The sequence below is a fragment of the Homo sapiens genome, chromosome 5 (genome assembly GCF_000001405.40).
Source record: "Homo sapiens chromosome 5, GRCh38.p14 Primary Assembly".
Classification (NCBI taxonomy): Eukaryota; Metazoa; Chordata; class Mammalia; order Primates; family Hominidae; genus Homo; species Homo sapiens.
Genome location: NC_000005.10, coordinates 180,599,359 through 180,627,162, shown reverse-complemented (window position 1 = coordinate 180,627,162; position 27,804 = coordinate 180,599,359). Strand labels below are relative to the sequence as shown.

The 27,804-nt window shown below is 59.8% G+C and overlaps 1 protein-coding gene across 10 annotated transcripts in view, besides 2 other annotated features; it reads left to right on the top strand.

Moving 5' to 3' along the window:
• The window catches only part of FLT4 (fms related receptor tyrosine kinase 4), a 48,793-nt gene extending 23,136 nt beyond the window's left edge, over nt 1-25,657 (top strand). For 4 of the 10 annotated variants that reach the window (XM_017009268.2, NM_182925.5, XM_011534478.4 and 1 more), the window contains 22 exons: nt 898-1,052; nt 1,132-1,294; nt 3,102-3,228; nt 4,324-4,432; nt 5,259-5,621; nt 5,911-6,057; nt 6,156-6,287; nt 6,448-6,554; nt 6,855-6,990; nt 7,394-7,498; nt 7,797-7,910; nt 8,054-8,142; nt 8,243-8,393; nt 10,169-10,263; nt 10,674-10,796; nt 12,984-13,095; nt 14,053-14,152; nt 14,552-14,657; nt 15,684-15,832; nt 17,138-17,258; nt 18,110-18,195; nt 23,773-25,657. In XM_017009268.2, coding sequence (XP_016864757.1) covers nt 898-1,052; nt 1,132-1,294; nt 3,102-3,228; nt 4,324-4,432; nt 5,259-5,621; nt 5,911-6,057; nt 6,156-6,287; nt 6,448-6,554; nt 6,855-6,990; nt 7,394-7,498; nt 7,797-7,910; nt 8,054-8,142; nt 8,243-8,393; nt 10,169-10,263; nt 10,674-10,796; nt 12,984-13,095; nt 14,053-14,152; nt 14,552-14,657; nt 15,684-15,832; nt 17,138-17,258; nt 18,110-18,195; nt 23,773-23,971 — 2,989 coding nt within the window. In that variant the 3' untranslated portion in view covers nt 23,972-25,657. Of the gene's footprint in view, nt 1-897; nt 1,053-1,131; nt 1,295-3,101; nt 3,229-4,323; nt 4,433-5,258; nt 5,622-5,910; nt 6,058-6,155; nt 6,288-6,447; nt 6,555-6,854; nt 6,991-7,393; nt 7,499-7,796; nt 7,911-8,053; nt 8,143-8,242; nt 8,394-10,168; nt 10,264-10,673; nt 10,797-12,983; nt 13,096-14,052; nt 14,153-14,526; nt 14,658-15,683; nt 15,833-17,137; nt 17,259-17,931; nt 18,005-18,109; nt 18,196-18,878; nt 19,415-23,772 lie in introns of those variants that run through there. The other 6 variants (NM_002020.5, XM_047417002.1, XM_017009266.2 and 3 more) reach the window with 4 other exon arrangements.
• Nucleotides 6,133-7,332: an enhancer, noted in NCBI's record as "CDK7 strongly-dependent group 2 enhancer chr5:180046831-180048030 (GRCh37/hg19 assembly coordinates)". NCBI's record gives its function as "activates an origin of replication core promoter dependent on BRD2, BRD4, P300/CBP, MED14 and CDK7 cofactors, with strong dependence on CDK7, by STARR-seq in HCT116 cells {active_cell/tissue: HCT116}" and the evidence as "EXISTENCE:reporter gene assay evidence [ECO:0000049][PMID:35650434]".
• Nucleotides 24,085-24,585: an enhancer, noted in NCBI's record as "H3K4me1 hESC enhancer chr5:180029578-180030078 (GRCh37/hg19 assembly coordinates)". NCBI's record gives its function as "activates a minimal SCP1, AML or CMV promoter by ChIP-STARR-seq in naive H9 embryonic stem cells {active_cell/tissue: H9 hESC(naive)}" and the evidence as "EXISTENCE:reporter gene assay evidence [ECO:0000049][PMID:30033119]".

Sequence of the window (27,804 nt, the reverse complement as noted above, 5' to 3'; positions counted from 1 at the left end):
CAAAGGAGGAGCATCTCCATACAGAGTCCAGGCCACAGAGACAGGTGCCTGCAGGGGCCCCAGCACACCCTCTGGGGCTGAGGCATCTGCTTCCTCACGTGTGCAGCAGACATGTAGGCATCTGGGCGCAACTCTGCAGGAGGCAGCACTGCCCTCGTGGGGCTCCCAGCCCAGGGGGACGATGGGCAAACAGACACAGCAAGGCAGGGGCAGGCCACAGCATAGGACAGTCAGGAAGGCTGCACGCCCCCACCCAAATGAAGGAGGCAGGGAACCCTGCAGATTCCTGGCTACAGAAATGAGTGTCCCAGCGAGGCAGGCAGTGAGAGCCAGGCCTGGGGGCGGGGTGTGGGCAGCAAGAAGCCCACATGTCTGCAGGGGCCACGCACATGTCAAGGAGCTAGACTGTGCTCGCAGGGACTGCACCTCCACTCCTTCAGGTGTCTAAGAAAGAGGACGGGGTCTCCAGGCCGTGCCCAGCTGGGTGGAGGAACCAGGTGTGTGGGACCCTCCTGGGCTGGGCTGGGCAAGCCTGGCTGAAGAAGGCTGTCTGCAGCCACAGGCAGGGAGAGAAGGCGGCTGCCCCAGCAGTGACATGGTCATCTCACTACTTGTGGAGAGTTCAGAGGCTTTGGGGCAAGGCAGGAGGTGCTACTGCAGACCTCAGTGACCAATGCCCGAGCCGGCCGCCTGACACGGTTGTCACACCTGGCAGATACGGCCTGGAGACCATCTCCAGGGACTTAGACCATCCCCTCGCAGACCAGTGTTCCCCGTCCTACCCTGCACTCCTGCCAGCCCCTCCCTCCTCCCAACTGTATTTGGGGTGGGGGTGCCAGCATGAGGTTGGGGCTGTGGTGGGATCTGTATGGGCCCTGACCTCCCTTCCCTGGCCAGGTACAAGGATGGAAAGGCACTGTCCGGGCGCCACAGTCCACATGCCCTGGTGCTCAAGGAGGTGACAGAGGCCAGCACAGGCACCTACACCCTCGCCCTGTGGAACTCCGCTGCTGGCCTGAGGCGCAACATCAGCCTGGAGCTGGTGGTGAATGGTAGGTCAGGGACGGGAGAGCGCACGGGTGGGCGGCCTGGCATTGGAGGCCAGCTGACCGGCCATCTGTGTGCCCACAGTGCCCCCCCAGATACATGAGAAGGAGGCCTCCTCCCCCAGCATCTACTCGCGTCACAGCCGCCAGGCCCTCACCTGCACGGCCTACGGGGTGCCCCTGCCTCTCAGCATCCAGTGGCACTGGCGGCCCTGGACACCCTGCAAGATGTTTGCCCAGCGTAGTCTGTGAGTACAGCTCCAGCCTCAGGTCCCCTGCACAGCCACAGCCCCCAGCCTCAGCCATGAGGAACCTCCTTTACAGCACCCCTCACTGCCCAGGTCTTCCCTGTACCCCTTCTCAGGGCCCTGCTCTGAACTTGAACCCTACCTTCAGCTATAGCCAATCCCTGGCCTCACCTCGCCTGAGTGAGGCTCAGAGCCTCCCTTGCACCCATCCTCCATCAGCTGGCCAAGCTGGACACAGGATGGGTCTGGCCCCTGCCCACCTCCCTCAAGAGCGAAGACCTCTGGACACGTAATTGCATCATCTGGAGGGAGAAGGAAGCACATGTCTCTGAGCACCCAGCAGGACACCTCCAGCGGGGTGGGGACCTGGGGGGGTGTCACCTGAGCCCCTGGGATGGTTGCACTGAGCCCCACGGCACACCATGTGTGCTCATGGGCCTCAGCTCATCTGTGCACCACTCACATCCCCTTAGAGACAGGGAAATAGGGTCAGAGAAGGGAGGCGGCTTTCCCAGGGGCACAGCTGTAAGCAACAGGACCCAGCCACCTGCTGAGCCGTGCTCCCCTCCACTGAGCGGGATGCCAGCAGGACATTTAGACAAGCAGGGGGTGAGAGGAGGACGCCCAGGTGGGCAGGGCTTGAAGGCACTAGGGAGCCAGTGAAGGGTGTTGAGAAGTGGAGACATGGCTCAGGTTTGCCTTTTAGCAAGAGATTCCTAGTATCAAACTGGGGCGGGATGGGAGCTGGGAACCTACATGGGAGATGAGGGTAGCCCCACTGGCTGTGGCTCTGGTGTGGTCAGTGGGGGAGGCTCAGTAGGGGTGGCATGAGCCGGCCCCAGATGTCCAAGGTTCATAGGTATTCTTCTAGATCGTGCGGCATGCAGCTCACTGCCAGCACCTCCAAATGTCCTTCCTTCTGGGTGTGCCACCTGTATGCTCTGTGCCAAGTGATGGAGCCCTTCGGGGGGTCCCTGCTCGGCTCCTCCACAGGGGCAGATATGAGCCTCCCTTGGGGCCCTGAGACTACCCCCCCAATCCTGGCAGGAGGCCAAGCTTGCTGGGGATGCACACCCTGCCCAGAGGGAGGCCGCAGCTCCTAAAGCAGGAGAGAGGGAGAGGCTGGGCAGAGATGCCTCCGGGGGCAGCATGGGACTGTGCTGGGCCTGCAGCCATGTGGGCAGATCCCAGGTGGCCTCTGCAGGAAGGGGCACAGAGAAGCGGGACAGAGTGCACATGTGCCTGAGGGACAGTGGGCACAGGAAGCTGGTGTTGGCAGCCTGTGTAGGATGGGTTGCCGGGTCCTGAGCCTGAAGGGTGGGAGACAGAGCTCCAGAAACAGGCCGGGCTCGGTGGCTCACGCCTGTAATCCCAGCGCTTTGGGAGGCCAAGGCAGACCAATCACCTGAGGTCAGGAGTTCGAGACCAGCTGACCAACATGGAGAAACCCCGACTCTACTGAAAATACAAAAAAAATAGCCAGGCGTGGTGGCACATGCCTATAATCCCAGCTACTTGGGAGGCTGAGGCAGGAGAATCGCTTGAACCCAGGAGGCGGAGGTTTCGGTGAGCTGAGATTGTGCCATTGCAGTCCAGCCTGGGCAACAAGAGTGAAACTCCGTCTCAAAAAAAAAAAAAAAACACCAAAGTCCCCTTCCCATCTCCCTCACCCAGGCCCGAGGGCCAGCCTCGCCCACGACCCCATATGAGAAGGTGACTGGATATGACAAGGGCTTGACCCCGCCCCCCATGTGGGCCCTTCCTGCCTGTATCCCTGACCTGCCCTTGCCTCTTCTGGTCCTGGCAGCCGGCGGCGGCAGCAGCAAGACCTCATGCCACAGTGCCGTGACTGGAGGGCGGTGACCACGCAGGATGCCGTGAACCCCATCGAGAGCCTGGACACCTGGACCGAGTTTGTGGAGGGAAAGAATAAGGTACAGGCCAGCCGCGCTGCTGAGTGCCCAGGGAGAAGGAGAAGGGAGGAGAGAGAGGCCATTACTGCCATGTGGTTTCCACCTGGCTTCCAGAGTGCTGGGCAGAGCAGCCGAGAGCGGGTGACCTTCCTGCAGTCTGTAGGCCTCGGCCACCCTGCCTGCAGAAAGGTCAGAGGGCCAGTCTCCGGCTTTGTGATGGAGGGCGGACCTCTGGCGGCTTCCCAGACAAGGAAGCTGACATGCAAGGCCACCTGGCCAGGCCATGAGCCCCTGAGGCCCACAGGCCCCAGGACCAGGAGGGGACAGGGCTGGAGGCTGACCAGGTCTGCACAGAGGGCTGCTGAGCCGCTGGCGCAGCCTGGGGGCAACGCCGAGAAGGGGGTACTGAACAAAGGCACCTACTTCCTCCAGTCACTTCCTGTTTTCCTACACACCTCCAGAGCCTCTTCCTGTTCCAGTCCTGGACAGGAAGTGCCCAGCTGGGGGTGGGGTGGGGGTGGGGGTCTTTGGATGGTAGGCAGGGCCTGTGGCCCTCTCTCCTCCCCTGTGTCTCAGGCTTCCTACTCCCTGAGGCCTCAGTCCTTCTGGGAGCCATCCCCACCCCTCTCAATAACCCTGGGCCTCGGGATTGCTGCTGAGGACAGTTCTGGGCTGAGGAGGCCATCTCACGAGGATCTCAGCAAGCAGCGACTGGATTGGGCCTGACCCCATCCAGAAGTGACTGGCTTTTGCTGTGACCCAGGCTGAATTCTCACCCTGGCTTGCACTGACGCTGGTGCCCCCTCAACATAGCCACGGCCAGAGGTCTCTCTGGTCCTGCCAAAGGCTGCCCTCTGACGTCACTGCAGCCTAGGCCAGCAGTCCATACACTGTCCCTTGACTTTTCTGGGCAGCTACCTCTCTCTGCTGCCCAGGGGCCTTCTCTCCTCTGCCTCACTATCCCTGGTCCTGTGAGTTTTGGTCTTCTCCAGCCCAAAGCCTCAGTTTCCCCCATGATTGGGGGGGGTGGTGCACAGCGACCTCCTTGCAGAAAGACAGGGCCCAGGTTGGGAGAACTTGGGCAGGAAATGGATCCTTGTGCCTGTGCTCTCCCAGACTGTGAGCAAGCTGGTGATCCAGAATGCCAACGTGTCTGCCATGTACAAGTGTGTGGTCTCCAACAAGGTGGGCCAGGATGAGCGGCTCATCTACTTCTATGTGACCAGTGAGTGACCAGACCAGGGCGGGGAGGCCTGGGTACAGGGTCAGGAGGGGGCAGGTTTGGGCTCATTGAGTTTCTGGGGTCTTTGGGACACCCAGGAGAGAGATCCAAGGCCTACCGGTTGTAGACAGGAAAAATAGATTTAAGGGTCACCAGCATAGGGCCTGGGTGCTGGCGCACTGGGATGGAATGGCATCCTCTGTCCCCAACCCTGGGGCTCCTCCCTCAAGGATGCCCTTGGCTCACTGCAGCTCCTCCTAGCTATACCCACTCCCACCCTCCCCTTCCCAAGCCCTGAGACCTTGTGACTCGTGTGAATTTTGCTCTGGGGAGAAGCTCTGTGGTTTACTCAGATTTTCAAATGTGGTAGTGACCTCAGGAGAGCGGAGCCCAGGAGCAGACGTCACTGGGTCCCAGAATGTAGATCAGGGCACCAGCAGAGAGATGTAGATCAGGGCACCAGCAGAGAGATGGAGCCCAAAAGAACACCCGGGGGCTGGGGGGCCACAGGAGCCTGACCAGAAGTGACCAGAGAGACAAGAGGAAGTGGGCGCACGGCACTGGGAAAAGCCAGGGAACACGTTATTTCAGGCTGAGCATGGGGTGGGGCATGGCAAGCTTCAAGAGAGAATGAGGACTCAAGTCCCACTGAGGGTGACAAGGAACTCCTGATGACCTGGGCTTTTGGTGGGGCGGGGGGCAAGCAGTCCAGCTGGGGCCCCTCCAGGAGAGAGGGAGGGAGGGAGGCAGGAGGAGACCCCGGGGCGGCAGGTGGATGGGGGAGCAAACTCCCAGGGCAGTGCCACAGGGCTTCTTCCTCCCTCCACAGCCATCCCCGACGGCTTCACCATCGAATCCAAGCCATCCGAGGAGCTACTAGAGGGCCAGCCGGTGCTCCTGAGCTGCCAAGCCGACAGCTACAAGTACGAGCATCTGCGCTGGTACCGCCTCAACCTGTCCACGCTGCACGATGCGCACGGGAACCCGCTTCTGCTCGACTGCAAGAACGTGCATCTGTTCGCCACCCCTCTGGCCGCCAGCCTGGAGGAGGTGGCACCTGGGGCGCGCCACGCCACGCTCAGCCTGAGTATCCCCCGCGTCGCGCCCGAGCACGAGGGCCACTATGTGTGCGAAGTGCAAGACCGGCGCAGCCATGACAAGCACTGCCACAAGAAGTACCTGTCGGTGCAGGGTGAGGCTGGCCGCGGGGAGGGCGGGGACGCGCTCTCTTCTAGCAGTAGCTGCCTCTGCCTTTGCCCCGGCGTGGCTCGCCCCTGGGAGGTCTATTCACAGCCCTGGCCTGCAGGAGCTACCCCTCCTGACTATCCGCCGCCCCCTGCGGAGGCGCGCCGCGCTCCTGCCCGGCGCACAACCCCTAAGTCCAGCTTCCAGGGATCCTTTTCTACCTCTGCTCCCAGCCCAAAGAGGGTCCTCCTGCTAAGTGCAGCTCCACTTAGCTCCCTCTCGACCCCTGCCCCCAGCCCTGGAAGCCCCTCGGCTCACGCAGAACTTGACCGACCTCCTGGTGAACGTGAGCGACTCGCTGGAGATGCAGTGCTTGGTGGCCGGAGCGCACGCGCCCAGCATCGTGTGGTACAAAGACGAGAGGCTGCTGGAGGAAAAGTCTGGTAGGGAGGGTGGCCCTGGCGAAGGGCAGGTCCGGAGGCCCGCGAGGCCGACGATCCCAAACCCAGGTGGACCCGCACCTCCACCCCACCCCCTGCAGGAGTCGACTTGGCGGACTCCAACCAGAAGCTGAGCATCCAGCGCGTGCGCGAGGAGGATGCGGGACGCTATCTGTGCAGCGTGTGCAACGCCAAGGGCTGCGTCAACTCCTCCGCCAGCGTGGCCGTGGAAGGTCTGGCCTCAGGCTGCACCCCTCAACTCCCTTCCCGTCCCCAGTTAACGCTTTCTTGTGGCCACCTTGGGCAAGTCGTGGCCACCAGAAGGGGTGCTGCCTGCAGGTGCACGCTCTTACACACACACACACACACGCCGGCCCCTTTCTGCCCACGCAGGCTCCGAGGATAAGGGCAGCATGGAGATCGTGATCCTTGTCGGTACCGGCGTCATCGCTGTCTTCTTCTGGGTCCTCCTCCTCCTCATCTTCTGTAACATGAGGAGGGTGAGTGTCCCTCCCCGCTCCTGATGGAGTCTCTCTCAGGCCTTCCCCACCCTGGCCGCCCCTAAGATAAAGAATAAGGTGCCCGCCCTAGTTCACCTGGCAGCCTTGTTTCCTGGGAAGCCTCCCTGCCCTTCACGCTGGGCTCCAACCCCGCAGAGGTTGTCTGTCTTTTTTTCTGTCCCCTCCTTGACTGAGAACCCCGCAGGAAGTGCCATCTGTCCTGGGCAAAGTTCTGCCCAAGCCACAGTGGTATGGCCAAATCAGTGAGCTGCCCCACTCCTCCCTGTCCCCTCCCCGCAGCCGGCCCACGCAGACATCAAGACGGGCTACCTGTCCATCATCATGGACCCCGGGGAGGTGCCTCTGGAGGAGCAATGCGAATACCTGTCCTACGATGCCAGCCAGTGGGAATTCCCCCGAGAGCGGCTGCACCTGGGTGAGGCCAGCACCAGCCTGCCCAACCCACACCTCCTGCCCGACCCACCTGCTGCAGGCCGGAGTGCCTGAATCCCTCCATTTTCAAAACTTGCACCAGGAAGTTCCGCCTGGCCTGACCTGTCCCTGTGGGCGTGGGTACCTAGAACCTCAGCCAGGGTCCCCAGTTCCCAGGCTCCCTGAGGTCACCTGCTGCCACCCTGAGCAGGGTGTATCTGTCACACCTACCCGGGAGGATGCGCGGCCTCCTGTCCACCTCTCCTTGTCTTCCCGCTGTGGCTCCCCACGCTCCTCCTGCTGCCAGGCCTGTCCTCCTGGACCTCTGCACGGGGCTCCCCCGCCGCCCACCTGTCTCCACGCTCACCCCGTACAGCTCACCTGCAACTGGCCCCCTGCCCCGACAGGGAGAGTGCTCGGCTACGGCGCCTTCGGGAAGGTGGTGGAAGCCTCCGCTTTCGGCATCCACAAGGGCAGCAGCTGTGACACCGTGGCCGTGAAAATGCTGAAAGGTGTGGGGTCAGCGGGCGGAAGGGGCAGCCTAGCTGGTGAGGAGCAGCAGCTCGGGGTGGGCCGGTGGGACGGCAACTCGGGAAGGGAGACTGAGGCTGGAAGCCAGTCTCATCCGAGATTCTACAGGGAGGCTGCGGGCTTCAGAGCCGAGGGACCACCCGAACCCCCTCTGCCTCAGTGGGGCCGGCAGGATGTCCTGGGGGCCCTTAGTAACCCTCCCCCTCCCAAAAGCGCCGGGTGGCGGGGAACGGGGACCTGCCAGGGTCGGGGCCGGTGTGAGGCCCGTGTCCCCTCCAGAGGGCGCCACGGCCAGCGAGCACCGCGCGCTGATGTCGGAGCTCAAGATCCTCATTCACATCGGCAACCACCTCAACGTGGTCAACCTCCTCGGGGCGTGCACCAAGCCGCAGGGTACGGAGCGGGCGGCCCGCTGGGACGGCGAGACCCCGGGCGCGGGGCGCCGCGGGCGGGAGGGGGCGCGGGTGCAAACGCGGAGCGCGCCCGCAGCGCGCCCCGGGTTCCGAACGCACGGCCGCCGCCCGGTCCCGCCGCAGGCCCCCTCATGGTGATCGTGGAGTTCTGCAAGTACGGCAACCTCTCCAACTTCCTGCGCGCCAAGCGGGACGCCTTCAGCCCCTGCGCGGTGAGCGGGCGGCCTGCGGGGCGCCGCGGGCGGCGGGGGAATGGAGGCGCCTCTGCGGCGGACGACTGGGCGCCCTCGAGCCAGCTTCGTGCATCCGCAGGAGAAGTCTCCCGAGCAGCGCGGACGCTTCCGCGCCATGGTGGAGCTCGCCAGGCTGGATCGGAGGCGGCCGGGGAGCAGCGACAGGGTCCTCTTCGCGCGGTTCTCGAAGACCGAGGGCGGAGCGAGGCGGGCTTCTCCAGACCAAGAAGGTGAGAGCCTGGCCTCTTCCCTTTTCCTAGTGCCTGACGGGCCCGGTTATATCCCGTGATCAGGCACCCCAGCCTGGGGTCCTCAGCGGGGGCTTTCATGGGAGAGTGTGGAATGGGCTCTGCCTTAGGAAGGGAAGACACCTCGGGGACAATTTTCACACAGATGTTTTACGATTGACTGGGTCATCAGAGGCTGAATAGGAAATTGCCCTGCAGACAAGGCAGGCAGTGGAGGGCCAAGCAGCAGGTGCCCGGCCCCCACAGAGCAACAGTATTTACTGCTCTGGGAGTAGGACGTGGGTGTCCCAGAGGCTGAGGGGCAGGAGAGGGTCCTCTGGAGTAGGACGTGGGTGTCCCAGAGGCTGAGGAGCAGGAGAGGGTGCTCTGGAGTAGGATGTGGGTGTCCCAGAGGCTGAGGGGCAGGAGAGGGTGCTCTGGGAGTAGGACGTGGGTGTCCCAGAGGCTGAGGGGCAGGAGAGGGTGCTCTGGAGTAGGACGTGGGTGTCCCAGAGGCTGAGGGGCAGGAGAGGGTGCTCTGGGAGTAGGACGTGGGTGTCCCAGAGGCTGAGGGGCAGGAGAGGGTGCTCTGGAATAGGATGTGGGTGTCCCAGAGGCTGAGGGGCAGGAGAGGGTGCTCTGGAATAGGATGTGGGTGTCCCAGAGGCTGAGGGGCAGGAGAGGGTGCTCTGGGAGTAGGACGTGGGTGTCCCAGAGGCTGAGGGGCAGGAGAGGGTGCTCTGGAGTAGGATGTGGGTGTCCCAGAGGCTGAGTGGCAGGAGAGGGTACTCTGGAATAGGATGTGGGTGTCCCAGAGGCTGAGGGGCAGGAGAGGGTGCTCTGGGAGTAGGACGTGGGTGTCCCAGAGGCTGAGTGGCAGGAGAGGGTGCTCTGGAATAGGACGTGGGTGTCCCAGAGGTTGAGGGGCAGGAGAGGGTGCTCTGGGAGTAGGACGTGGGTGTCCCAGAGGCTGAGGGGCAGGAGAGGGTGCTCTGGAATAGGACGTGGGTGTACCAGAGGCTGAGGGGCAGGAGAGGGTGCTCTGGAGTAGGACGTGGGTGTCCCAGAGGCTGAGGGGCAGGAGAGGGTGCTCTGGAGTAGGACGTGGGTGTCCCAGAGGCTGAGGGGCAGGAGAGGGTGCTCTGGAATAGGACGTGGGTGTCCCAGAGGCTGAGGGGCAGGAGAGGGTGCTCTGGAGTAGGACGTGGGTGTCCCAGAGGCTGAGGGGCAGGAGAGGGTGCTCTGGAGTAGGACGTGGGTGTCCCAGAGGCTGAGGGGCAGGAGAGGGTGCTCTGGAGTAGGACGTGGGTGTCCCAGAGGCTGAGGGGCAGGAGAGGGTGCTCTGGAGTAGGATGTGGGTGTCCCAGAGGCTGAGGGGCAGGAGAGGGTGCTCTGGAGTAGGACGTGGGTGTCCCAGAGTCTGAGGGGCAGGAGAGGGTGCTCTGGAGTAGGACGTGGGTGTCCCAGAGTCTGAGGGGCAGGAGAGGGTGCTCTGGAGTAGGACGTGTGTGTCCCAGAGGCTGAGGGGCAGGAGAGGGTGCTCTGGAGTAGGACGTGGGTGTCCCAGAGGCTGAGGGGCAGGAGAGGGTGCTCTGGAGTAGGATGTGGGTGTCCCAGAGGCTGAGGGGCAGGAGAGGGTGCTCTGGAGTAGGATGTGGGTGTCCCAGAGTCTGAGGGGCAGGAGAGGGGCTGACATGCTTGTTAGCTGTTCCCTGGGGCTGGGTAGATGGAGGCCGCGGAGGAGGCGCCTCCTGAGCCCACCTGGCTCCACTGTGTAGCTGAGGACCTGTGGCTGAGCCCGCTGACCATGGAAGATCTTGTCTGCTACAGCTTCCAGGTGGCCAGAGGGATGGAGTTCCTGGCTTCCCGAAAGGTGAGCTTCCCCCGAAGGCCCTTCAGACGGGAAAAGGGTGCATCCCCACCAGTCGCCAAGAAGTGCTTGGTACTGGCCTCACCCTGCAATGGCTCTGTGGTCCATCAGTGTCTCTCCCACTTTGCAGAGGAGGAAACTCTGCCCAAAGCATGGAGTTGACCTCCCAAGGTCTCTTGGCTGGTCAGCAGCAGAGTCTGTTTGACTCCACAACTTTCTCTGCTGTCCCCACAATTCCACAAGCTCTCTCCATGATGAGTCCTGGAGATGGATGGGAATCCTTCCCCAAAGGAGCACAGTTCAGGCAGGGCATCCCCATGGTCCCCACTGCTTGGGCACCCTGGAGTTTCGGGTGTGGGTATTACCCCAGGGGCCTGCACTGACAGCCCCCCTGCCGCCTCCCCGCACCCCAGTGCATCCACAGAGACCTGGCTGCTCGGAACATTCTGCTGTCGGAAAGCGACGTGGTGAAGATCTGTGACTTTGGCCTTGCCCGGGACATCTACAAAGACCCCGACTACGTCCGCAAGGGCAGTGTGAGTGCAGGCCATTGAGGAGAGGGAACGTGGGGCGGAACAGGTGAAGGGGTGGGACCACAGACTGCCTGTCCAGGAGAGGGAGGGCTGGCACAGGGTGAGGTGAGCTCCTTGGTTGGCCAGCCATGTGCCCAGCTGCTGGTGGACCTCCTGCCCCCAGGGGACCCTACTGACCACCCCCCACCTTAGGCATCTTGGGGCAAGGAAGTGGAGAAGGGAGGTGACCGGCAGGCCCAGTGCTCCGAAAGGAAGTGGAGAAGGGAGGTGACCGGCAGGCCCAGTGCTCCGAAAGGAAGTGGAGAAGGGAGGTGACCGGCAGGCCCAGTGCTCCGAAAGGAAGTGGAGAAGGGAGGTGACCGGCAGGCCCAGTGCTCCGAAAGGAAGTGGAGAAGGGAGGTGACCGGCGGGGCCCAGTGCTCCGAAAGGAAGTGGAGAAGGGAGGTGACCGGCGGGGCCCAGTGCTCCGAAAGGAAGTGGAGAAGGGAGGTGACCGGCAGGCCCAGTGCTCCGAAAGGAAGTGGAGAAGGGAGGTGACCGGCAGGCCCAGTGCTCCGAAAGGAAGTGGAGAAGGGAGGTGACCGGCGGGGCCCAGTGCTCCGAAAGGAAGTGGAGAAGGGAGGTGACCGGCGGGCCCAGTGCTCCGAAAGGAAGTGGATTTCGGAAGTGGAGAAGGGAGGTGACCGGCAGGCCCAGTGCTCCGAAAGGAAGTGGAGAAGGGAGGTGACCGGCGGGCCCAGTGCTCCGAAAGGAAGTGGAGAAGGGAGGTGACCAGCGGGACCCAGTGCTCCGAAAGGAAGTGGAGAAGGGAGGTGACCGGCGGGCCCAGTGCTCCGAAAGGAAGTGGAGAAGGGAGGTGACCGGCGGGGCCCCAGTGCTCCGAAAGACAGTGGATTTCGGAAGTGGAGAAGGGAGGTGACCGGCGGGCCCAGTGCTCCGAAAGGAAGTGGAGAAGGGAGGTGACCAGCGGGACCCAGTGCTCCGAAAGGAAGTGGATTTCGGAAGTGGAGAAGGGAGGTGACCAGCGGGGCCCAGTGCTCCGAAAGGAAGTGGAGAAGGGAGGTGACCGGCGGGGCCCAGTGCTCCGAAAGGAAGTGGATTTCGGAAGTGGAGATGGGAGTTGACCAGCGGGGCCCAGTGCTCCAAAAGGAAGTGGAGAAGGGAGGTGACCAGCGGGGCCCAGTGCTCCGAAAGGAAGTGGAGAAGGGAGGTGACCAGCGGGGCCGCAGTGCTCCGATTGGAGCTTGTTCTGATTGGAGCTTGTCTTTGCCCCGCGCCTTGCTCCGTGCGGTGGGTCCTGACTCCCAGGGCCTGCCCTATGGAGCCTGAGAGTGCAAAGCATTCTGTGGTGTCTGTCCTGGAGATGGACCCGCTTGGTGCAGTATGTGGAACTCAGGAGGCGGAGTGTCTTGTGAATGGAGCTCAGGCAGGGCAGCAGGTGCCTGGATGAGCCTCCAAGGCGGGTCAGGGTTCCGCGCCTGGGGGAGAAAGGGTGTCAGAGGGGGAGGAGCAGGATGGGCCCAGGGCCTGGTCTTGATGAGCCATCCAGCCCAGCATGGCCGCTGGTTGGAGGGAAGTGTCAGGTTGTCTGCAGTTACAAAAACCTCCCTTATGCCGTAAGCTGGGAAGAGAGGGGAGTGGGGGTGCTGGGGTGGAGGTAGAGGCCAGTCCAGAAGGGCCCTGGCCCTCAGGGCTCCCAGGTAGAGACCATGAGAGGGAGAGAGACAGCCGGCGGCGGAGATGCCTCAGGAGCCCAGGAGGAGGGTGTCAGGAGTGATGGCCCGGCTTCCAGGGTGGGGACAGTGAGTGGACAGAGCGTGCTTGTCAGGGGAGATGGTGAGAGTGTGCAGGGGTGCGTTTCATCAGGAGGCTGCGCTGGAGGTCTAGGGCTGGAGGAAGGTGTACAGTCTACCCCGATACCCCTCCCCTGAGAGCTGGGAGGGAGAGGGGCCCAGACAGACCCAGGAGAACAGCAGCAGGGAGATACCTTCAACCCAGGCAGAGGACCCTGTTAGGGGGTGCCAGAGCATCTGGCCTCAGCCCTCTCTTCCCATCCACCACGGGACACGCTTCCCTCCGTCTCCCCATCCACCGCAGGACACGCTTCCCTCCGTCTCCCCATCCACCACGGGACACGCTTCCCTCCGTCTCCCCATCCACCACGGGACAAGCTTCCCTCTGTCTCCCCAGGCCCGGCTGCCCCTGAAGTGGATGGCCCCTGAAAGCATCTTCGACAAGGTGTACACCACGCAGAGTGACGTGTGGTCCTTTGGGGTGCTTCTCTGGGAGATCTTCTCTCTGGGTGAGTGCAGGATGGGGTGCCGGTGGGGAGAGGAGGCGAGGTCACTGGCGGCAGGTTACATGACCGCCCCTGCTGGAGTAAGGGACTGGGCACCTGGAGGTGTGTGCCAGGTCGTTCTGAAGCAGGTGGTTTGTGGGCCACCAAGGGCCCCCCACCTCTCCCCAGCCTGGCCCAGCCTCCGAGAGGACTTTGCCTCCAACGTGGGCCACCCTCTGTGGGGTGCACATTGAAGCCTGAGCCAGGACTGAGCCTTTTCACATGGCAGCCCCAGAGGGAGCTCAGTGCCCAGTCAGCAGACGTGCCTACTCCAAGAGCTCCAAGAGCTCCATGTGGGAACTCAGGCCCCGCTGCGAGCATGATGAAGTCTCCAGGCCAGGGTAGGGCAGTGAACTTGAAAAAGTTAAAATGTCACCAAGTGGCAACTGATCCACGCTACTGCGGAAACTAAAGGAGCAGGAAGAGTGTAGGAGGCGTGGGAGCTCGGGTAAGCCAGAGGGGCCCAAGGAGGGAGTTCAGCAGTCCAGGACGGGGAGCAGCAGGGGTTGGGAGGAGCAGCAGGGGTTGGGGGGAGCAGCAGGGGTTGGGGGGAGCAGCAGGAGAAGCAGCGAGAAGCAAGAGAGGCTTTGTTGAAACTGCCTGCAGGCGGCTCCCCCGCCGCTGATGATCCAGTAACCATGATGTCTACCGTGTCGCCAGTGGGTGGATGCTCTTGGCACCCCTAGCAAGCAGGCGGCACAGTCCTCTTTTAACCAAATGAACTAGAGCTGGGGAGGGCAGCGACTTGCCCACAGGTCCCAGGTAGAGCACAGTCGGGTGAGCCATCTCCACCCCACCACGGATGGGGAAAGGGACAGGACGGGGTGACTTGATGGGGAAGGGACAGGATGGGGTGACTTGGGGGGCTGGGCTGAGCCGCAGGAGGCTTGCTCCCCACCCACCTCCCCTTCCTGTTGTCAGGGGCCTCCCCGTACCCTGGGGTGCAGATCAATGAGGAGTTCTGCCAGCGGCTGAGAGACGGCACAAGGATGAGGGCCCCGGAGCTGGCCACTCCCGCCATGTGAGCCTCCCCATGGCCCTGCAGGTTTTGGGGACAGCAAGCGTCGGGGGCGTGGGGGTTGTGTCCATGAGAAGGTGGCATCAGGGAAGCCAGGGCCAGTAGGACAGGCCTGGGCACCACCCTCAAGATACACGGGTAGTCTGTAGCACAGCTGCACCAGGAGGACACCAGGAGGGAAGGCCGGGCGCTGTCGGAACAGAGCCGAGTGTTCAGGGAAAGCATCACCAGGAGGGGACGCTGGGCTAACACTTGAAGGAGGAACGAGGGTAGCTGGACAAGAGTGGGAGACGTGTCAGGAGGAGGGCAGAGTGGGTGAGAGGGCCCAGGAAGGCTGGGGCACTGAAGGTCCTGGGACGGGGGTGGGGTGCATGCAGTCCAGCAGCCCACGTGATCCTGCAGACGCCGCATCATGCTGAACTGCTGGTCCGGAGACCCCAAGGCGAGACCTGCATTCTCGGAGCTGGTGGAGATCCTGGGGGACCTGCTCCAGGGCAGGGGCCTGCAAGTGAGCCCCTTCCCCACCCTGTTCTACTATGGCCTTTGGCCCCTGCCCTGGGTCCCTGGCCCGAGCTGCCCCTCCAAGCCCATCTAGGCTCTGCCCACCTCTCAGCTGCTAGGCTAGGGTGGTGGGGTCCTGGGCCCCTATCCACACCTCGTCCCCACACCCTTGCATCTTTCTGTTGAGTACACACCCGCTGCACAGCTCCACTGCCTGCTCCAGGTGCTGTGTGGATAGTCAGAGCCTGTCCCTGCGCGAGGGGAATCCTAGGCTGGTCCCCCCCGGCCTGTGAGGCAGCCCCATCTCCCTGGCATCGTCATGATGTATTCCTTCACCTGGTGCCAGTTCTGTCCCCCACTCCACTGAACACACGGACCCTTGACCTGTGTGTGCTGACATCTCTCCCTCCCCACGTGGTGCTCCTCCAGGGTGGGGGATGGAGCCGGCTTGTGACCCAGCTCAAGGTGGGGCCTGGAGCAAGAAGCAGGGGGTGGCCTGTTGCCCAGGCCTTAGGGACTGGGATGGGTGCTGCGGGTCTAGTTCCATCCAAAGAAGAAGGTAGGGAGTGCTGGCCCCAGTTCCTGAGGCTGCCAGCTCAGCTAGGGACTGGAGGAGGGATGATCCGGCTGAGCCCCAGCCTGCCCCACCTGCCTCATCCATAAATGTACCTGGAAGGGCTGTTGGGAGAACTTAGCGAGGCTGGCACAGCCAGCATTCTGCTACCTTGACCCCTTATCTGTCTTGATGGCTGAGATGTGCTGGTTTCTGGCATGAGCTCGTTTCCTCTGTGGAGCACTCACGTGCCCGCATGGTCTGTTAGGGCCCTATCTCAGGGGTCAGGAGCCCAAGCAGTCCCGAGGGCAGAGCGAGGGCTGAGGGCAGGGCGAGGGCGGGGGCGAGAGCTGAGTGCGGGGGCGAGGGCTGAGGGCGGGGGTGAGGGCTGAGGGCGGGGGTGAGGGCTGAGGGTGGGGGCGAGGGCTGAGGGCAGTGGCTGGTGGTTTCTGGCCTGGCTGCCTCTCCTGTTCCCGCCAGGAGGAAGAGGAGGTCTGCATGGCCCCGCGCAGCTCTCAGAGCTCAGAAGAGGGCAGCTTCTCGCAGGTGTCCACCATGGCCCTACACATCGCCCAGGCTGACGCTGAGGACAGCCCGCCAAGCCTGCAGCGCCACAGCCTGGCCGCCAGGTCAGCTGTCCTGCAGGTCCAGGAGTAGGGTGGGAGAAAGCCATGTGGACAAGGTGCATTTTATCCCTCTGCGTCATCGGGGAAAAGCAAATCATGCGACGTCAGAGGCCAGTGTGCACAAACTCAGAGCACAGAGTGGCTTTAAATGACCCACTGCAGGGTCCTTCCACGGCCGTGTGGCCTGGCTGCGTGCTTGTTTTTGAGTCCTGTCCACCCACCAGTGTCCCCTCACCCCAACATCAAGGGTACTTTTTATTTATTTATTTATTTTTTTGAGACGGAGTCTCGCTCTGTCGCCCAGGCTGGAGTGCAGTGGCGCGATCTCGGCTCACCGCAAGCTCCGCCTCCCAGGTTCACGCCATTCTCCTGCCTCAGCCTCCCGAGTAGCTGGGACTACAGGCACCCGCCACCACGCCTGGCTAATTTTTTGTATTTTTAGTAGAGACGGGGTTTCACCGTGTTAGCCAGGATGGTCTCGATCTCCTGACCTCGTGATCTGCCTGCCTCGGCCTCCCAAAGTGCTGGGATTACAGGCGTGAGCCACTGCGCCCGGCAAGCGTACTTTTTCTCCCGGAGAGGTGGAGTGGACTGTGTTTGGGCCAAGATTCCTCCCAGGAATCTCTGATTATCTAAATCACTGATTAGTCTGGGGGTGAGTCCCCAAGAGTCCCTGGGAGCAGGGAAGGACTCCAACTATGAGGCGTGGGCAGGAGGAGAACGTAACCTAATTCCCGGAACTCTGCCCAGGCTCTCTTATCCCTGGCATTTCACACTCAGGATGGCTGTGCTGGCCCCATTCACAGCAGTGTTGCTGAGATGCAGGCTCTGCGTCCTGTCCCTCTGCCCTAGCATACGGCAGGGCTAGGCCTGGGGGACAACAACAGTTAGCTGGATTCTGCCAGGCTCCTTCCACAAACCCCTCAACGTGTGCCTTAGTGCACCCACGTACGGGCAGGGCAGTCGGCGGCTTGCAGCCCCAGGGCTGCCTGGCTGGCCCAGGGTAGCCCATCCCCGGGAGGAGCTCCATGCCACACGGGGCTGGATGCCCCCTCACTTCCCATCACAGAGCTCAGCAGTGGACTCGGGAGGAAACACAGCCCAGGGTGCTGCTGGGGCTGTGGGGTAGACATCTGAGGCCAGGCACACGGAGGAGCCCCTGCCAGCACTCAGGCCCAGGCCCATCCATACTCCTGCCCCAGGCGGGGGGTCCTTTCCAGGAGAAGAGGGGGCACAGGGACAGTGGAGAGAAGTTCGAGGAGGGTTGCTGCAGCGCGTTCCTCAGCACCTTCTGATTTCTCCCCACAGGTATTACAACTGGGTGTCCTTTCCCGGGTGCCTGGCCAGAGGGGCTGAGACCCGTGGTTCCTCCAGGATGAAGACATTTGAGGAATTCCCCATGACCCCAACGACCTACAAAGGCTCTGTGGTACTTCACATGAAGGGTGGGGGCTGCGCTCTCGGCTCAGGGCTGGGGCCGCCTCAGGGGAGGCAGCGTCAGGAATTCGTAAGGCAAATGGCAGAACCCAACGACTGTCCTTTGAAAGTGCAAGTCCAGGGTGAGCCTTGGGCACATTTGGGCCCTCCTGCGATGCCACGACTCACAGCTGCTTTCTGTCCTATGCCCTCGTCACCCCCACACGAGGCCTCCCCTCCTCAGCAGCGCAGAAACCCCAGTGGAAGGACGGCTCCTCCTCGGTGGCAGGTTCGGGGGTCCCGGGCCTGGTCAGTGAGCGCTGGGCAGAGGGGCCCCATGGGAGCCCTTGGCCAGACCACAGGGACCTGGGTTCCTGCCTCCAGGGCCACTTGGAGATGTTGGGGGACTCTGAAAAGATCGCAGTTTCCCTCCCGTGTAATTCAAAATAAAAACCACACCAAGCCACAGTCGAAGGATAACAAAGCCCCCCAAACCGGGAGGCAGCCTCACATGGATCGTTTTTTGAACTACGAGCTGCCAGGTTGTGAGGCCTCTCCCTGCTTCTCCCACGGCTCCTGCTCTTCACACACTGAGCATATGCTTGGCCACCGTGGAGGTCCCCAAGTATGAGGCGTCCACGGGCCACACACAGCCCCCCTGACCTCAGTGTCTCCCTCCGTGGCAGGGGCATGTGACCCTCACCCTGGGATGGAATGGACGCCTTGTTTCTGGCTCAGCTTCCCAGGGACAGGTGTTAGGTCAGCCGCGCTGCAGGACCATGCCGCACTTTCCTGGCTGGGGGTGGCTGCCCTGCAGGAGGGCCTCAGGCGGGACCCACAGCCTGGCTTGTCCTCTCCACACAGGACAACCAGACAGACAGTGGGATGGTGCTGGCCTCGGAGGAGTTTGAGCAGATAGAGAGCAGGCATAGACAAGAAAGCGGCTTCAGGTAAGGGCTTCGTGAGCCTCCTGCACTGCAGGTATCGATGTTGCCCTCCCCTGGAGGAGGGAGGCTGGGGTCTGGGTGTGCCCAGCCCTCTTCCCGGAACCTTTCGTGGCTCCCTATGGCCTTTTCGCGCGTTCAAGGTGAGCTGCCTGAGACCCCTCCTGACCTACAGCACCGCGGGAGCCCCTCCCTGTCACATGCTGGCCACGTGGGCGCTGGTCCCGACACCTCCCTGTCATCTGACAGAGCTCAGATGCTGTGTCTTTCTGACACCACACGTAACCCACCATGCCCAGGGCACACACACTCTCCTCCAGGTTGGGGAGGCCACCCCAGCCCCAGAACCCCGGAACTTCACCCAGTGGCTCCAGAAGCCGGGTAGATACTGTAATCTGAACTGGCTGGTGTAGGGTCCGGCCCTGTGGGGCTTAGCGGGTGTTCTCCCCGTGTGTGGAGATAAGAGATCGTAAGAAAGAAAGACACAAGACAGAGATAAAGAGAAAACAGCTGGGCCTGGGGGACCCCTACCATCAAGACGTGGAGACCGGTAGTGGCCCCGAATGGCTGAGCACGCTGATATTTATTGCATGCAAGACAAGGGGGCAGGGTCAGGAGGGTGAGTCGTTCAAGTGATTGATAAGGTGAAGCAAGTCACATGATCATGGGACGGGGCCCTTCCCTCTTAGGTAGCTGAAGCAGAGAGAGAGAAGGCAGCATACGTCAGCATTTTCTTCTCTGCACTTATAAGAAAGATCAAAGACTTTAAGACTTTCGCTATTTCTTCTACTGCTATCTACTACAAACTTCAAAGAGGAACCAGGAGGACAAGAGGAGCATGAAAGTGGACAAGGAGTGTGACCACTGAAGCACCACAGGGAGGGGTTAGGCCTCCGGATGACTGCGGGCAGGCCTGGATAATATCCAGCCTCCCACAAGAAGCTGGTGGAGCAGAGTGTTCCCTGACTCCTCCAAGGAAAGGGAGACGCCCTTTCATGGTCTGCTGAGTAACAGGTGCCTTCCCAGACACTGGCGTTACTGCTTGACCAAAGAGCCCTCAAGCGGCCCTTATGCCAGCGTGACAGAGGGCTCACCTCTTGCCTTCTAGGTCACTTCTCACAATGTCCCTTCAGCACCTGACCCTGTGCCCACCAGTTATTCCTTGGTAATATGAGTAATACATCAAAGAGTAGTATTAAAAGCTAATTAATCATGTTTATACTAATGACTGATAATGTCCATGATCATCTCTCTATCTAATTTGTATTATGACTATTCTTATTCTATTTTCTTTATTTTATATATATATATGTATGTATGTATTTTTTTTTTTTTGAGACAGTCTCGCTCTGTCTCCCAGGCTAGAGTGCAGTGGTGCGATCTCTGCTCGCTGCAACCTCCGCCTCCTGGGTTCACGCCATTCTCCTGCCTCAGCCTTCCGAGTAGCTGGGACTACAGGCACCCGCCACCACGCCCGGCTAATTGTTTTGTATTTTTTTTAGTAGAGACCGGGTTTCGCCATGTTAGCCAGGATGGTCTCGATCTCCTGACCTCGTGATCCGCCCGCCCTCGGCCTCCCAAAGTGCTGGGATTACAGGCCTGAGCCACCGCGCCCGGCCACTGTTTTCTTTATTATACTGAAACAGTTTGTGCCTTCAGTCTCTTGCCTCAGCACCTGGGTGATCCTTCGCCCACAGGCTGGGATGTATTTTGGCAACAGAGAAATACCCACATATCCCAGATAGAAAGTGAACTCCATTTGCCCAACATGACAGCCAGGGGAAAAACAGTTTTGGCCATTTTGAATGTTGAAACTTTTAAGGGTATAGATTTAAACAAAGACTTCAGTGTCTGCTTAAAAGATTCATTTTATTTTTATTTTTATTTTTATTTTTTGAGACAGAGTCTCACTCCGTCACCCAGGCTAGAGTGCAGTGGTGCGATCTCGGCTCACCGCAACCTCCACCTCCCGGGTTCACGTGATTATCCTGCCTCAGCCTCTTGAGTAGCTGGGATTATAGGCGTGTGCCACCACGCCCAGCTAAGTTTGTTTGTTTGTTTTTTTTTTTTTTTTTTTTTTAGTAGAGACGGGGTTTCGCCACGTTGGCCAGGCTGGTCTTGAACTCCTGGCCTCAAGTGATCTGCCCTCAGCCTCCCAGGGTGCTGGGATTACAGGTATGAGCCACCACGCCCAGCTCATCAGGTGACTCCTGTTAGTACCTGGTTTTGGAAAATCAATGGTGGTCACATTTACGGAAATAGCTTTGGGCTAATTTTTCGTCACCAAACAGCATTTCGACATTCAAAAAACAAGGTAATTAAGTAAAAGGTGTCACAGAGAATGATCGCCACGTAAATTCAAACCTCTACACACCTTCGAGAAACAGCACAGCTCCTTGAGATCAAAGAAGGCCGCTCAGCCCAGGCCTGTGGCTCAGCTAGGAGACAGACTCCGTGGAAACGTGAGTTGGGGACTCAACGCCAGGACCCGCACGGCTGAGCCTGCACCATGGTGGGAGAGTCAGATAGGGCCGTCCCGTGAGAGGAGAGTGTGACGAGGTCCTTGGGGATGTGGCAACACAGACCCAGGGGTGACGGAGGAGATGGGGCTGCGAGGAGAGCTCCCTTGCCAAGCCCGAGGCACTGGGCAGCCATCTTGCTTCTGAAAGGGCGGCGAGCCAGAAGGGAGTGCAGCCCCTTGGATGCTTGGTGGTAGAGGAAGAAGAAAGTTCCAGAAGACATGGGTCCTAAGGAAGCAAGATAGTATCCAGAAGTCAGAAGAAGACACATGATGGATTTGTTCATTTGAGAAACTGCACCACCCTGTATCGGCAGCAGAGGGCACTGTTCTTTGTCCTCTGTCGACAATGAGCCAAGAAAAGGTGCCACAGGTCTCTGGCGGGTGCATCCGCTTGGCATACAGAATGCTGTGCAAACAGGTGCAAGGAGAGAATGTGCCTTGGTGGGGTGTGGGGAGAAGAAGGAGGAATCTATCTGCCTAGTCCTTCGCTGTCTCCTGTTAACCACTGGTCGGCACTCGCCCCATGGGGGTTCACCTCCTCACTCCTGGGTTACATCATCCAGCCCCTTCAGTACCCACTTAGGATGCCAGAGCCCGTACCTATAGATGTGGCTTTTCACCTGCATCTGTGGGTGGAAGGAGATCAGGAAACTGGGCTTGTGGTCACTCAGCATGGCTGCGTGCAGCCAGTGGAGGGCCTAGCTCTTCTGGGTAAGAGACTAGCTGGCCCCTGGTGGCAGGATGATACGGGACGTGTATGAGCCTTCAGAAGGAAGAATGTGCTCAAAGGAACTTGAGATGCCAAAGATATGGGTTTGAGGTGGCACTTTTAAGTGAAGAAATGTAGGATGCCACCAAAATCCCTAGTCCCATCCACAGGAGAAGTGGCTATTTCTGGTGTAGGAAATCCTAACATGAATAATCCTGAACCCCCAAAAAAGCACCCTCCATACAAAGTTATAGGAATAAGACAGTATTAGAGTTAAAACTTCCCGGTAGACAATTGTTCAAAAGAAACAGGAAAACGAGCAAAATGCTCCAACATGAATTAAACATATAAGGAAACAAGCAGTGGCTTGTTTTGTTGAATCTGAAATTCAAAATTTCAGGATAGAAATGGACGGACAATGTGATGATACAACTGACAGCAGACTAAATTCAGGAAAGAAATCGAAATAAAAGATAGATTCGGCCAGGCAGTAGCTCTCACCTGTAATCACAGCACACTGGGAGGCTGAGGCAGGAGGATCACTTGAGGCCCGGAGTTCAAGACCAACCTGGGCAACAGAATGAGACGCTGTCTCTACAAATAGTAATTTTAAAAATTAGCTGGGTGTGGTGGCCCATGCCTGTGGTAGCAGCCGCTCAGCAGGCTGAGGTGGGAGAGTTGCTTGAGCCCAGAAGGTCGAGGATGCAGTGAGCCATGATCGTGCCACTGCACTCCAGGCTGGGCAACACAGCAAGCCCCCATTTTGGGGGAAAAAAACCCGATAAATCTTTTCTAAAACCAGGGCACCACAGGGACAATATGTATGAGCAGACTGATAGTGCCAGACACAGAGGATGGACGTGAAAAGAGGAAAACAAAACTGAAAAGAGGCAAAAGGATCAGAAAGTGACAGGAATAGAAAAGAGACAATATATATAAAATTGGGAGTCCCAGAGGAAGAAAATGCAAACAGTAAAAGAACTAATATTTTAAACTTACAGTCAAGAGTTTTCAGTAGCACCATGCAAAGCACCAAACAAGAAGTCAACATCTTCAAAAAATGCAAAGAAAGTGAGCGCTTGAGGATGGTGCATGATAGGGCAGGCAGAGAGGAGGGCAGGGGCAGAAACCACCCCCTAGGTCAAGGCGAGAGGCCTGGATTTGCTTCGTGGAGTGACGGGAAGCCGTTGGAGGGCGTGTCAGGAGGAGAATGACATAGTGTAACTTGAAGGACCTCTCTGAAGGGTGGACCACCAGGAGGCCAGGGTGGAAGCACACAGCAGTCCGCGGGAGGATGTCACAGAGCCGGCAAGGACACAGCTGGCTCCGCAGGAGGGCCAGGAATGGAGATGCACGGATGTGTCCTGGAGTTAGAATGGACAGGACTTCTGGATGGATTGGCTTTGAAGAGTGAGGGGAAGGAGGAAGCAAGGAGAACCCCAGGGTGCTTGGCTTGAGCGGCTGAGGGGACGGTGGTGCCGTTCACTGAGATGGGCAAGACAGAGTGAGAACTGGGTTGGGGGATGAAGTTGGACATTCTTCACAGTCTCGGGTCCAGGCTAGGTAGGGACAGAGCTCCAGTGAGTGCTGGATCAGATCGATCCGCTTTGCTGTTTGAGTCGAGTCTGTGTGTGTTTTCTGAAGTCTGAACGCATGCCATGCTCCACTGTGTCCTTGGTGGTTCCCATCAGACCCTGACAGGGCTCCAGTCCCTCCTTGTTTTTTGTTAGTTTGTTTTTGAGACAGGGTCTCACTTTGTCACCCAGGCTGGAGTGCAGCGGCACGATCTTGGCTCACTGAAACCTCCACCTCCTGGGCTCAAGCAATTTTTTTTTTTTTTAAGATGGAGTCTCACTCTGTCGCCCAGGCTGGAGTGCAGTGGTGCGATCTCAGCTCACTGCAAGCTCCGCCTCCCGGGTTCACGCCATTCTCCTGCCTCAGCCTCCCGAGTAGCTGGGACTACAGGCGCCCGCCACCACGCCCGGCTAATGTTTTGTATTTTTAGTAGAGACGGGGTTTCACCGTGTTAGCCAGGATGGTCTCGATCTCCTGACCTCGTGATCCGCCCGCCTCGGTCTCCCAGCAAAGTGCTGGGATTACAGGCATGAGCCACCGCACCCGGCCTCAAGCAATTGTTTCACTTAGCTGGGACCGCAGGCGTGCACCACCATGCCTGGCTAATTTTTGTATTTTTTGTAGAGACGGGGTTTCCCCATGTTGCCTGGGCTGGACTCTAACTCCTGGCCTGAAGCCATCCGCCTGCCTAGGCCTCCCAAGTACTGGGATTACCAGTATGCACCACCCGCCACCCAGCCTTCTTCTCTTACTAACACCACCTTCCCTGTCTTGGCAGCTGTAAAGGACCTGGCCAGAATGTGGCTGTGACCAGGGCACACCCTGACTCCCAAGGGAGGCGGCGGCGGCCTGAGCGGGGGGCCCGAGGAGGCCAGGTGTTTTACAACAGCGAGTATGGGGAGCTGTCGGAGCCAAGCGAGGAGGACCACTGCTCCCCGTCTGCCCGCGTGACTTTCTTCACAGACAACAGCTACTAAGCAGCATCGGACAAGACCCCCAGCACTTGGGGGTTCAGGCCCGGCAGGGCGGGCAGAGGGCTGGAGGCCCAGGCTGGGAACTCATCTGGTTGAACTCTGGTGGCACAGGAGTGTCCTCTTCCCTCTCTGCAGACTTCCCAGCTAGGAAGAGCAGGACTCCAGGCCCAAGGCTCCCGGAATTCCGTCACCACGACTGGCCAGGGCCACGCTCCAGCTGCCCCGGCCCCTCCCCCTGAGATTCAGATGTCATTTAGTTCAGCATCCGCAGGTGCTGGTCCCGGGGCCAGCACTTCCATGGGAATGTCTCTTTGGCGACCTCCTTTCATCACACTGGGTGGTGGCCTGGTCCCTGTTTTCCCACGAGGAATCTGTGGGTCTGGGAGTCACACAGTGTTGGAGGTTAAGGCATACGAGAGCAGAGGTCTCCCAAACGCCCTTTCCTCCTCAGGCACACAGCTACTCTCCCCACGAGGGCTGGCTGGCCTCACCCACCCCTGCACAGTTGAAGGGAGGGGCTGTGTTTCCATCTCAAAGAAGGCATTTGCAGGGTCCTCTTCTGGGCCTGACCAAACAGCCAACTAGCCCCTGGGGTGGCCACCAGTATGACAGTATTATACGCTGGCAACACAGAGGCAGCCCGCACACCTGCGCCTGGGTGTTGAGAGCCATCCTGCAAGTCTTTTTCAACAGAACTTCACAGACTGTTAGAGCTGCTGAGAAGAATTTGCTTTCCGAATTCAGCCTGGAAGGCGCCCAGGGACAGCTGTACTGAGTCTAGATGACTCTGACCCCCGCCCCAGGTCAAGGCCAGCAGAGCAGTCAGTGCCTCTGGAGAAGGCCCTTGCTCTCCCACCTGGCCCAGACTCCGAGGAGCCTGGGTCTGGAGCTGCCGGTCTGGTTCTTCCCTTTAGAGCCCGGATCTGCCACCTGCGGCCCCTCCCAAGCCGTGAACCAGCTCATGAGAGATGAACACTGTGGGATCCACTCAGGAAGGCTCGGGGCTGGCACAAAGGACCACCCAGCATTGCCCTGTGCCACCCAGCACTCAGTGGACATTCTGGGGACCTGCCTTCAGCCTTTTCCTGCCCTGTGCCTGACATCAGCACCCTGGCTGGTCAGAATGCCGCCCTCCCAGAGGAGCAGCCGAGAGATCCCCTGAAGGCTGGAGGCATTCTGCTCAGGACCCCTATCCCAGCTCACAGTGCCCAACCATCTCACCAGGAGAAAGAGCCACATCCCCACGTTAGGACCACGGAGACTGACCACCACCCTGACCCCCCAAACCCACGCACCAGACGCTTGCAGGACAGGCGCCGCGCAGCGGGCAGGGGCTTGCCCGGCCGACCCTCCCCTCCCCACCTCCCCCACTGCGCGTTACTCCAGGATATGCCGAGTGCACGTATAAGGTCATCTTCGTCGTCCCCGTGGACCTCCCCCTTCCTCTGCACGTCGTCCAACGTGGGACTGGCGTGTCAGGCTTCCCTGGGAGGATCTGGAGGTTGTTCTCTGCAGAGAACCAGCCTGGCTCCTGGCGCGCACCTCTGCTCCCTTCTCCTCACTACCCACCCACGCATGTACCGGGAAAAAAACTACTATGCCCTTCTAGACCATGTTCTGAGAAAAGATCGAAAATATTTAACAAGAGATAATAATAAATCTGATGCCGGTCTTTGTGTGTGTTGCGGACGGGAGTGTTGCTTTTATTGTTTTTGCTTCCGTAATAAATCTAAATGGGAATACAGAACAGCCCCCACATTGGGCTTTTTTTTTTTTTTTTTTTTTTTTTTGAGACAGTTTTGCTCTTTCCCCCAGGCTGGAGTTCAGTGGCGCGATCTCGGCTCACTGGAACCTCCGTCTTCAAGCAATTCTTCTGCCTCAGCCTCCTGAGTAGCTGGGATTACAGGCACCTGCCACCACGCCCAGCTAATTTTTGTATTTTTAGTAGAGACGGGGTTTCACCATGTTGGCCAGGCTGGGCTCGAACTCCCGGCCTCAGCCTCCCAAAAGTGCTGGAATTACAGGTGTGAGCCACCGCGCCCGGCCGCTTTTTTTTTGTTTTGGTTGGTTGGTTGGTTTGTAGAAATGAGGTCTCACTGTATTGCCCAGGCTGGGTTTGGATATTTTAGCTTTCCATTATAATTGACTGAATTTAGTCACTGACCTTGACATATGTGCCAACCCAGGTGTCCACCAACAGGGTGTCCCCCCGTGCCCAGGGCTGAGCGGCTCTCCAAGCCCAAAGTATGCCCCTGTGTGTTGGGAACTGAAACACCTCTGTGCTCCCATCCCGTACCATTTCCCAGCAGGGCTGCGCTCACACTTCCGGGCTCCTCTGGAACTTCCTGGGTTGGACCTTAAGGGCTGGGCTCAAGTGTCCCTGCAGGTCCCAGCCACCCTTTCACACCCCAGAGCACCACTCACTCCAGGAGTGGCTGTGTGGATGGAGACAGCCAGCGAGCGGGGAGGGAGGAGTCACACCAGGCTACAGCGTGCTCGCACTGCGAGGGCCCCTTGGTCCCTTCTGCCTCCCAAGAACCTTCTCACCTTCTCCTCTCAGGCTCCAGCCCTTCTCTGGGTGCCACCGCCCGCCTATGCCTCCCCACCTCCACCCCAGCCCTTCACTCTATTCATTTCTGCCAAGAGCCCTTCGTCACCTGCTTGGGGGAGGTTTGGGGCCCAGGACATGCCCGAATGTCCTTTGATGCTGTTGATTCTATGCTGACGTCCCCAGTGCCTCTCGGTGTGCTCAGGCCCTGGCGTTTGCATCCAGCAGGCAGAGCTCCCGGGTGGCTGCTCAAAGCCACACGTGGTCCTAGGCCCTGGAGTTGGAACTCACAAACCGCAGCCCCTGCTGTGAGGAGTGAAGAAGAGCAAAGAGGAAGACCAGAAGGACAGGCGAGGGAGGGAAGTGGGATGTGGGACAGGAGGCCACAGGGGACCTAGGGCCTGGGAGTCCAGAGTTGGGCCTGTTTCTTATTTTAAGGCTAGACGGGCATTCTGAGAAGGGCTGACGTCTTTCACCGAGAAGGAGGGATCTTGAAGGAGCTTGGCGGGGTCTGCAGGGGTGCTGGCAGGCTAGGAGATCAGAGGGACCCCCGGGAGGGCCCTACACAGCTCCCGCCCTAGATGCTCATTATGCTTGGGAGGAGGGAACCCAAAAAGCAGCTTCCAGCACCAACACCGGCTCCCTCCCTCTCATTTCCCCTGACCCCATCCTCACCCCATTACCACTCCCAGGCCACTCCACCCCAGTGGGCCCAAATCAACTTTTTTTTTTTTTTGAGACGAAGTTTCACTCTGTCACCCAGGCTGGAGTGCAGTGGTGCAATCATAGCTCACTGCAGCCTCAACCTCCCGTGCTCACATGATCCTCTCGCCTCGGCCTCCTGAGTAGCTGGGACTACGGGGCTCACTGTGCCTAGCTTCCAGGTAGACTCTTGAAGCTGTGTGCTTAGCCCAGATAATCAGCCACAGTGTCCAAGGTGCTGGCCAGTCCCCAGGTCACTGGGGCCATCTCCAGCCCTGATCTCTGCATGTGGATTCAGGGAGGGGACCATAGCATCACTGAGCGGGGACTGCCTTTGTGCCTTTGGCAACCACCAAATGAGGCCTGGGTCTCCTCTGCCACTGGGCAGAGAGCCTGGGACAGGCTGGGCTCTGAGGGCTCCTCAGGGCTGGGAGCGGAGGATGGGGTATGAGATGTGGCACCCTGCAGCTGGTGAGCCTGAGCCCAGCACCTCCCCTCGGAGCCTCAGTTTCTCATTCATGACTGCCACCTTGTAGAGCTTTGGTGATAAAAGTCATAAGGCCCCAGTGGTGCTGGGGGTGACCAC